This window comes from Homo sapiens, chromosome 4, assembly GCF_000001405.40.
Source record: "Homo sapiens chromosome 4, GRCh38.p14 Primary Assembly".
Classification (NCBI taxonomy): Eukaryota; Metazoa; Chordata; class Mammalia; order Primates; family Hominidae; genus Homo; species Homo sapiens.
In genome coordinates this window covers 99437496-99448697 of record NC_000004.12, presented here as the reverse complement: position 1 = coordinate 99448697, position 11202 = coordinate 99437496, and the positions used below count along the sequence as shown (strand labels likewise).

The window sequence follows — 11202 nt, the reverse complement described above, 5'->3', positions numbered from 1 at the left end:
GCACATTTCACAATAGCAAAGACATGGAATCAACCTAAATGCCCATCAGTGGTAGACTGGAAAAAGAAAATGTGGTATATATACACCATGGAATACTATGCAGCCATAAAAAAGGAATGAGATCAGTCTTTTGCAGGAACATGGATGGGGCTGGAGGCTATTATCCTCAGCAAACTAACACAGGAACAGAAAACCAACTACAGCATGTTCTCATTTATAAGTGGGAGGTAAATGATGAGTATGAACACAAAGAAGGAAACAACAGACACTGGGCTCTTCTTGAGGGTGAAGGTTGAGAGGAGGGAGAAGAGCAGCAAAGATAACTATTGAGTACTGGCTTAATTCCCAGGTGATGAAATAATCTGTACAACAAACCTCCATGAAATGAGTTTACCTATGTAACAAACCTTCACATGTACCCCTGAACCTAAAATAAAAGTTAAAAATAATGAGCAGAATTGTATAATTGTTTTGAGATAATTATCTTTCACTACAAAGATTAATAACAAAGGAACAAAGGTGGTGCCAGTCTGAGTTTGGACAGGCAGTTAGTTGCTGGGCAGATATCCTCACAGAAGTATTTTTTGTGTAAGGTTGTGATGACCTTTGTGCATTGTTGTGGCTTCTGTAGAGTCTTTTGTGGAAGTTTTTATTATCTGGCATATAAGTGTGAGAAGCCTCTCTTCATAGCCCTCCCCAGCTCTATTTGTCAGGGTTTTTTGTATTTGTTTGTTTGTTTGTTTGTTTTAAACATACATGACTCCATTTTGATTCCGACCACTTTCATATTTCTCTTTTTGATTACGATTGTTCTCGGAAGGTATCACAGATCAATCATCCTGTAGTTAGGTTTTGATTGTCCTTCAGTACCCAAATGAACCTGCACTGAGTTGCTGGTCTGTCCCACACTGGAGAGAGTGATTGGCAGCTAAGAGTCAATGTCAAACTCTGTTTAGCAACATTTCAGCAATAAGGGAAGTTTGAATGGACAGCTCTCCAGTCACTCCTCAGGTGGCTCTTCTCTTTTAAAGACAGAATTATTTGGGGATGAAAGACTATTGAAAAAAAAGATTGTTGAGAATCTATTATATTCTAAGCCTATTGGAACAGAAACTGTCTCAGAATCATTTTAGTATCTGACCCCACCACCAATATCCCGGCACCTAGGCCCACAGTAGAAACTAATAAAAAATCTCATTGAATGAATAAAAGATTTATTGCCTGATTAAGTAAATGAATGGTCACTCACACTTGTGACATTTGTAACTTTTAGGGGATCCTGTGAACTGAGTTTCCCAGGCTCCAATTTGATTCAGTTCTTTTCTTTCTCATAGCCCAGCCAAGCCTTCTTGATCCCATTGTGATCCTTCACACTGGAGGACTAGTCAAGCAGTTAATCACAGCCGGTGGTTTCTTCAGCTGCAAAGGGAAATGTCACTTTCACTGTGACTCAGCTCTTTTCCACTGCTTTCTCGAATTGCTGTTTGTTGAATAAATCTGGTCGAGTTTGACAATAAAGGTCTCCCAGGAAGTGTTAAAATAAATGAGGTCTTGGTAAGGTGTCTCCTAGACATTTAAAACAAACAAAACAAAAAAAAAACACACTTCATAAAAACAATTGTTTGGTTAATGGGCTATCCTTTGATTAAAATTGTAAGCATTTGATTTAAAACTGGCTGGTAGAACTTTCATTTACTAAGTAGTTTACATTTAGGTATCAGTGTTGTCTTTGAAGTATAAGAAGGTGGTCATCTTTTTGCTATATGCTTAAAAGGATTTATCAGTTAGTGTTGACTGGAGTGCCCAGACTCTGAATCTACATGGAGAGTCACCCTTGCAGTACTTGAGCAGCCCCATGTCTAAAAATTTTGTTCCTTTCAATATGATTATGTTTCCCTGCCTCTTCATGTCTGGCCCCCCACTTGGGATGTTACAGAACTACCCTCAGTTGCCCAATGAGCCACTGATGTAACAGAATGTGTACCTGCCCTTACAGTGTCTTCCAGGACCCACTTTCTGATGTCCTGTGTTTTTCTGGATACATTTGGTACTCCTATACACACGCTTTCTTCACTTCTCCTTGTTGACCCTGCCTGGAGAGGAGAGATCCTATAATATTCCTTTTGGTTAGAGACCGCTTTTGTGTTCATTTCATAGAGCTGCCATAACAAGGTACACAAACTTGGTAGCTTAAAACAACAGAAATTTGTTCTCTCATAGTTTCTGAACACCAGAAGTCCAAAATCAAAGTATCATCAGGATTGGATACTCCTAGAGTCTCTGAAGCAGAATCTGTTCCATGCCTTTCCCCTAGCTTCTGGTAGTTCCCAGCAATCTTTGGCATCCTTTGGCTTGTGGATGTATCACTCCAATCTCTGCCTCTGTGGTCACATGCTGTTCTCCTCTGTGTGTCTCTTTGCATCTTCACCTAGCCTTCATATAAGGACACTAATCTTTGAATTTAGAGCTCACTCTAATTCAATATGACCTCATCTTAACTACTTACATTACATCTGCAAGGACCCTATTCTCAAATAAGGCCACATTCTGAGGTTCTGGCATACGTGAATTTTGGAGGAACACTATTCAATCCAATACACCTCCTTTCTTCCCAGCTGGGTCTTACAGGAGCACAAGGTATCATTCAAGCTTTCTTGAGATTTTGCCCACACCCTATGCCTACATATATATGTGCAAGCTCATTTATCTAAAGAGAAAAGAACTAGAAAGCTAGGCTTTCATCATTTGAATGCACATTTAAGAGTGGCAGCTCGGAGAAAATAATGTGCATATAAATTATTCAAAGCTTGTCTCGTGGTATCCCAATAAGGGTAGTTACCTTGCAGTGGGCAGGCTTATCACTGATCTTCAGTAATGATAATAAAAGCTAACACTTGTTGATCATAAACAGTTTTTTAGGGAATATTTCAAGCATTTCATAAATGGTATCTCATTAAATCTTTACAACAGTTTTGTGAAAGAAGTACTAAATTGGTATTATCCTCATTTTACAGGTGAAGAAATTAAGACTTGCAGAAATTAGTTTATCAAAGGTAACAATATTCTTAAATGGATGTCAGAGTCCAGAGATGAAACTTTTAAACACTTCAATGTGGTCTTCTTATAAAAAATACATTGTCTTCTCCATTTGGCAGATGAGAAAAAACGTGGGTACAAGAAGTTAAGTCATTTGTCTGAAGTGTTATAGCCGGTACATCTGAAATGAAAATCCTGATCTGTTTTCCCTTAAAGCTAAATTCTTTTTATAGCACCTGACTGCAAATTTGTTTCTACAGGGGCCCAGGTGATGACAGCAATGGAGGAAAGTGGGTAGCTGGCTCTTTGAGGATCCAGCAGATCAAAAAAAAAAAAAGAGGTTGAATTATGAATAATAACCTCAATGGTTTGTCCAAGAGTTTGCTAAACCCACACTAGCCTGACTATGCCTGAGTTTAAATTTGGGAGCCCTTTCTTTCCTTTTGACGCTGAGATTCTGTGAGCAAGACACTGCCCTCAGCTCCATGGGTGTAGGGACACAGAAACTCCCATTTAGGGGGCTTCAGGCTGATAATACTGACTATACTGATACCTAAATGTAAACTACTTAGTAAATGAAAGTTCTACCAGGCAGAACTTTTAAATACTTAGAATTGTAAGTATTTAAATCTAATACTTACAATTTACTTTTAAATAATTAAAATTTTAAGTATTTAAAACTAATACTTACAATCAAGGGATAGCCCATTCCTTGATTAAATGATGATGGCCCAACTTAGAACTTGGTGTTAGGACTCAGACCACTTGCTGGCTTCCAGCTCATTTCCTTTCCTCTTTTTTTTGCCTTTTCCTACTTATTTATACCCTTTGTTCAACTATTTTATAAATATTTTCCACAATCCACCAATAGGTTTCCTATCACCCATGTAGCATATCATTTCCCCTTTGAGATTACCTTGAGATTTATTTTAAATTGTGCCTCAGTCTCTTTCTCTAAAATGAACAATATCATCTGCTTTGTAAGAGTTTTATAATCAAATGAGATAATTATTTAGTGATCTAATAAACATTTGCTATGATTAATTGAAGGAACATTCAGTTAAAAAGAGAAAGATATAGACCATAATTTAACCAAGGTAATTTCTAACAAATTACGGGCCATAATTTCAGATAGAAGGAGGTTACCTACTCTCCTTACACAATGGCAAAAATTTGGCCAGGTCTCTGACTTTCAAGCATCTTTTGATATAAAATATCCTGTTCTACTTTTTCTATAAAGCACTGAAATATTTCAGAAATTCTTCCATTTCAGTGTCCAAGTTACATTTCCAACACCAAGTCTCAAATATGGAAGTGACATCAACAACATCAATGCCAAAACTCTTTACCAGACTATGCATTGATTTTTAATTAATTCAATTAATTCCCCATAGTTTAGGCAGAGTTAAACCTTTTTATTTTAAAATTACAAGTTCTTCGTTTTGAAGAAATCCAGGACAAACCATAGCTTCTTGTCAGTTTAGACCTCTCTTACACAATTATAGCTCTGACCTCAATTTAGCCACCAGCATCCTCATAGTTATATAATTCCTGGTCTCGTCCTCAGTCAGCACTGCCATAAGACTCAATCTTGTCACAAAACTTCATTCCTAGGACAAGAAAAAAAAAAATACAAGGCCACAGTGTTGTCTGACCATAGTTCTTTAACAATGTCCGGGGCTCTTTCCTGCAGAGGTGTGTTTAGCTGAGGAACCTCAGATTTCATATCAGACAGGCACCTGCTCCTTAAGGTTCAATTGGGCTCTTCCTTTTGCTTTTATCACTGAGAATAAATGCACATTTTACACTCATACATTTCCATTTTTTCCAGGCAAATTATAGAAGGAGTGAGAGAGCATACCTATGTTATCTGAGAGAAAACTGGCAAAGACAAGCCAACCCTTTGAGGATGCTATGCTTTACCTCGGTAATGACACAAAAAGTGATGAAGGATGCAGTGCCAGTCTTGGAAGGACAGAAAGTACAGGGGCATATCTCACAAAGCATAGTCTTTGGAATGAACTAGGGTGATCTAATACATGGTTTTGGGCTGTGTTTCTTAAACTATCTGTGATGAAGACCCTTTCTATTCCTTCTCCAGTCCATCATGGACTGATCCTTTTATAAAATATAATAAAAATGGATTACTAGAAAAATAATGAGAAGCAAAATACTAATCCATATTTTTTGATTATATTTAACAGATATAAACTTAATTTGTCAGTTTCTATAGAAGTTTCTAAACACTCTTAGTTTTGAGGTCCGTCTTCTCATGGACTGAGGAGGGTTCATGCTAATAATAATAATAATAATAATAATCAGAGGGATCACGCTTTGGGTGGCACTGCTAGTATGGAAGAATAGTGGTCCCAGATAGGCTTCACACTGGGTCACTTGGGAAGATGTCCCCAAACTTGTGTTTATTGAAAGGGGAATCATGTGGATGTTGTTCTGGTATTGTGTTTTTTTAACAGCTTCTCAATTCTTTCTAATGTGCAGTGAAGTTGAAAAACATTCCTCCAGAATAACAGGCCTTGTTATTTAAGCTTCATTTCTGTCAATTACTGACAAACAGCCAGATCTACATAAAGAGTAATAACCTTGAAGGTACAGACAGCTTAGACATTCTAGCCCTGACCAGCTTAATTACATAAATAAAATTCTAGCTTTTATTTTTTAGAGATAGCCCTGGCATTCATTAAAAAAAAAAAAACTCAAGGAATTTCTTTAAGACAAAATGACATTCTTTGCTCTGATATCAGCATTAGTTGACCATTTGATCTAAATTTGTTTCTTGTGTGAATTTACCAGAAGGGGATACATTTTACAGTATGGTACACATGGACCTGTGTGTAAAACCAGACTTCATTTTACTACCTGTGGGAATATGGGCCAGTTATCTAAAATCTCTGAGTCCAGTTTCTTTTTTAAAAAACTTTTAAGTTCGGGGGTACATGTGCAGGTTACATAGGTAAACACATGTCATGGGGTGTTGTTGTGCAGATTATTTCATCACTGAGTTTTTAAGCCTAGTACCCATTAGTTATTTTTCCTGATACCCTGCCTCCTTCCACCCTGTACCCTCTTATAAGCCCCAATGTGTGTTCTTCCCCTCTGCATGTCCATGTGTTCTCATCATTTAGCTCCTACTTATAAATGAGAACATGTGGCATTTGGTTTTCTGTTCCTGCATTAGTTTGCTAAGGATAACAGCCTCCAGATCTATCCATGTCAGAGCAAAGAATATAACCTCATTCATTATAATGGCTGCCTACTTTTCCGTGGTGAATATGTACCACATTTTCTTTATCCAGTCTACCATTGATGGGCATTTAGGTTGATTCCATGTCTGTGCTATTGTGAATGGTGCTACAATAAACATACATGTGCATGTGTCTTTATAATAGAACAATTTATATTCCTTTGGATATATACTCAGTAATGTGATTGCTGGGTCGAATGGCAGTTATGTCTTTAGGTCTTTGAGGAATCACCACACTCTTTTCTACAATGGCTGAACTAATTTACACTCCCACCAACAGTGTATAAGCATTCCTTTTTCTCCAGAACCTCGCCAGCATCTGTTATTTTTTGACTTTTTAAAATGGCTAGTCTGACTGGTGTGAGATGGTATCTCATTGTGGTTTTGATTTTCATTTCTCTAATGATCAGTGATGTTGAGCTTTTTTTCATATGATTGTTGGCCACATGTATGTCTTCTTTTGACAAATGTCTGTTCATATTCTTTGCCCACCTTTTAATGGTGTTTTTTCCTTGTAACTTTAAGTTTCTTATAATGCTGTATATTAGATTTTTTGTCAGATGCATAGTTTGCAAAACTTTTCTCCCATTCTATAGGTTGTCTGTGTACTCTGTTGGTAGTTTCTTTTGCCGTGCAGAAGCTCTTGAGTTTAATTAGATACCATTTGTCAATTTTTGCTTTTGTTGCAATTGCTTTTTGCATCTTCCTCATGAAATCTTTGCCGGTGCCTATGTCCTGAATGATATGGCCTAGATTGTCTTCCAGAGTTTTTATTGTCTTGGGTTTTACATTTAAGTCTTTAATCCACCTTGAGTTAATTTTTGTACTTGGCTTAAGGAAGGGGCCTAGTTTTAATTTTCTGCATATGGCTAGCCTGTTATTCCAGAACCATTTATTGAATAGGGAATTCTTTCCCTATTGCTTGTTTTTGTCAGGTTTGTTGAAGATCAGATAATTGTAGGTGTGTAGTCTTATTTCTGGGTTCTCTGTTCTGTTCCAGTGGTCCATGTGTCTGTTTTTGTACCAATATCATGCTTTTTTGGTTACTGTGGCCCTGTAGTATAGTTTGAAATTGAGTAGCAGGATGCCTCTAGCTTTGTTCTTTTTGCTTAGAGTTGCCTTGGTTATTTGGGCTCTTTTTTGGTTCAATATGAATTTTAAAATAGTTTTCTCTAGTTCTGTGAAGAACGTCGTTGGTAGTTTAATGGGAATAGCATTGAATGTATAAATTGCTTTGGGCACTATGGCAATTTTAATGATATGGATTTTTCCTATCCATGAACACGGAATATTTTTCCATTCATTTATGTCATCTATGATTTCTTTGAGCAGGGGTTTTTAGTTCTTCTTAGAGAGATCTTTCATCTCCCTTGTTAGCTGTATTCCTTTTTGTGGCAATTGTGAATGGGAGCTCATTTGTGACTTCGCTCTCATCTCATCTTGACTGTTGTTGATGTACAGTTGCTAGCAATTTTTGTGCATTAATTTTGTATCTTAAGCCTTTACTGAAGTTGCTTATCAGCTTACAAAGCTTTTGGACTAAAGTGATGGGGTTTCCTAGATATAGGATCATTTCATCTGCAAGCAGGGAGAGTCCAGTTTATGAAATGCCTTCCTCAAACTACATTTTATTACCTGTGGGACCAAGAGGAAGTTATCTAAAATCTCTGAGCCCTTGTTTCTTAAATGCATTCCTCAAAGGATCATTGTGAGTTTTCAATAAAATAACCCACAAAAATTGATTATATATTAGTGTCTGGCAGGTAGTCGGATTACTCAAATATTAACCCTCACTCATTCCCAGGGCTGACATCTATCCGATATGCCTGGAAATGGCAAGTCAGCTGGCATCTATTAAATTAAGCTGTGGATGCACTGATTGATCAGTGCCATGTATTTTAGGTTGATAAATATTTTGAATATTTTGAATATTACATCTACCAATCGTGTTTCTTATGCGGAATCTGTTCAAAGTTATAGTGCCAGGCAGTATATATTAACAAATTGGTACCTTGTTTATCAATTTTTCATGTACATGATTAATGTGAATCAGATTCCAGAATCTAATCAACCTCAGAATCTAATCAAAATCAGGCTCTCAAACTTACATAGCTGAGAATTTTTTAGACCCAAGATAACCTCATCATACTATAGGAATCCCAGGGAGATGGGATTCAATATCATCCTGGATCTGCCCTTAACCACCTTAAAAACAATCTAAAACTCATGGGGCACCTGGGTGGAGAACAAAAGCAGAAATACCCGGTTCACTGTAAGAGCAGTATTCCTTTTGTTCTCGGAAGGTCCAGACAGCAGTGAAGCTTTCACCAGTTCAATAAGATGAAAGAAAACAGTTAAGAAGTTAATGAGAGTTGTGGTTTTTATCACATTTATAATATTGTATTAGGTTGTTGCAAAAGTAATTGCAGTTTTTATATTAAAAGTAATGGATTACTTTTGCACCAACCTATTAGCAAATTGTTGTTTTTGCCTCCTCTTCCTCTCTTTCACCTTCCTCGCCCATCCTTGCAAATACTCCTACATTTCAAGGTTCATGTGATATAATTGTATTTGGAGACTTAGACCTCCAAGGACTTTCCAGTTCACCTCCTGGGACATGTTGATCCATGTTTGGATCCATTCTGGCTTCTGATCTCTAGCAGCCAGAATGGATCTAGCAGCTCACTGGGGTGAATGAAGGAAGTCACAATGACCTCTGTTGGCTGCAGCCTAGATGAGTGCTCTTCACTATCCCTTGCATTTCCAATTATCAGTCCTTATGTTTCATGTCTTAGGTAATACTGAAGTTAGTCTAACCTCTCCCACAGTGCAGGAGTTTGGTCTGTATTGTTACTTGCAGATGGTTGTGACCTTTTCATGATAAGCAGCTCAAAACCTTCATAAGTTAACCTATTTAAGCTTGGAATTCTCTTCTCCATATATATAACAAGTTAGTCTCAAGAGTTTCTCTCATGTTTCTACTTCCAGGCTTTAGAAAATACAAGGGGGTAAAACCATGAGGAACCTCTTTTCTCCAAATAAAGGCTTGCAAATGTGAAACAGGTTAAAGCAAAACTTCAAGAGTTGAGGTGCGGTGGGGAGTCACTGAGGTTTCTTCCAGGCTTGCCCCTGACCACACTGCTGCAGCGTAAGGTGAGGTACTAAGTATGTGCAAAGCTCTGCAATGAAGAATTGGTCCAAGGCCACTTCCGCTGCTACCATACCATTCCAGGAGCCTGCTCTATATTTTAGTGACATGAGTCCTGAGGGGACCTTCGGAAACAGATGCAAAGAGAGAAACTTTAACTTGACTTAATGAGATACTGAACACCTCCCAGAGCCATGTCTGTCTTCTTCGCAAGGTTGTGCCTCCCATCTTCCAGTTTTTAGGCACGCTCCCTTTCTGATTGCTGTGTTTTGATGCCGGTCCTTCCCTGCCAGAAACAGCCTTTAGGCTCAGTCTCTGTAAAGAACTGCTAGGCCTTAGTGCCTTGGGGTCATTTTCAACAAATCCTTAGTTGCATACATCACAAAACTGATTCTCCTGTGCTTTTTTTTTTTTTTTTTTGAGATAATGAGTAGGAAAAAGAAAAAAACTTGGGTTTATTTTTTTCACAATCCTTGACCTCCTTGAAATGAAATTCTCATCAGCCAGCACACCGATTTCATGAGCTAAGTGAAATGGAGAGTTTATGGGAAGCAGATGTGAAGCCCTCATCTTGTGAAAAATCTGCTTTGGATTCTTTTCTTGAGTAGGGTGTGCATGCAGAAGCAAATTTTCTGAAACTACTAGGCACAATCTCCCATGGCAGTTCTGAAAGCTGGCACAGTGTGCCTGAAAAAGGATTAGCAAAAGCGTGACAAATCTGGGCAGAGCTGCAGAGGCCCGATCTCTGCCCTACTCGTGGCACAGCCTCATTCCCAGTTGGCTTGGCAGAGCTGATGGTATGAAAGGATGAGTTTCAGCTTGCATCTAGCCATAGGATTTACCACCTGAGTTTGCAGTGTTGGAGAAAGAGAATTTTAGAGACAATGGCAAGAATGAAACCCCACCCTCAAGGTTTGTAGTTTACTAAAGTGGAGTGTAAATGAGCAGCATTCACCCTAATACAGGGTGTCTAGTTATATCCCACTCAGTAAGTACAATTGCATAACTATTTATGCTATTAAGAATGATTTAGCAATAAACAGATCCTTTCTTCCCTTCTTAACCTTAGGGAAATACCTATTTAATTTTCAGTTACTGAGTGTTTGACAGTTTAATAAGCACTTCCGCACTTGTGCTTTACAGCAAGTCCTGAAGTGGGTATTATTTTCTCCCTTTGTGAAGGTTGGAGCATTTAGTTTTCTCGCCATAAGTGCCTACCAGTCCCTATGGAGCAGATACCTAGCTCTTTTGACTGTAGTGACTCTTTCACTTCTCTGCTGTCATTATGAGACTGGAGTGAGAACACTTCTGGACAGGGTCCATAACAGAAAGCTGTTACCGAAGGGCGAAGGAGCAAGGCTGTAGGAGAGTAGTGCTGATAACATGACCCTGTAAGCCTCCCACACTTACAGACTCCCACACTCACAGGTGCTGCAGAGTATGGACAGGGTAACCGACTAGTCTCCATTTGCCTGGGACTCTCCTGGTTTGGGAACTGAAAATCTTGCATCCTGGGAACCCCCTCAATTCTGTGCACACCAATGGCTGGTCAACACCTGTGTGGATCATATTTTGCCTCTTAGGTTTCATCTAAATTTCTGGTAGCACTTCCAGGTTCAAAAGACTTAGTCCTCAAACTCTTAGGAAATTCTGGCGGCTTCCAGGACCTCACAGTCGATTGCTGCAAGACAGCTTTACTGAGTCAGGACTCCGGGACATTTGGTCTCATGTGGTTCCATATTTAAATATTTGAGCA

At 38.4% G+C, this 11202-nt stretch overlaps 1 annotated feature.

Moving 5' to 3' along the window:
- Nucleotides 964-2163: an enhancer, noted in NCBI's record as "MED14-independent group 3 enhancer chr4:100367692-100368891 (GRCh37/hg19 assembly coordinates)". NCBI's record gives its function as "activates an origin of replication core promoter dependent on BRD2, BRD4, P300/CBP and CDK7 cofactors, and independent of MED14, by STARR-seq in HCT116 cells {active_cell/tissue: HCT116}" and the evidence as "EXISTENCE:reporter gene assay evidence [ECO:0000049][PMID:35650434]".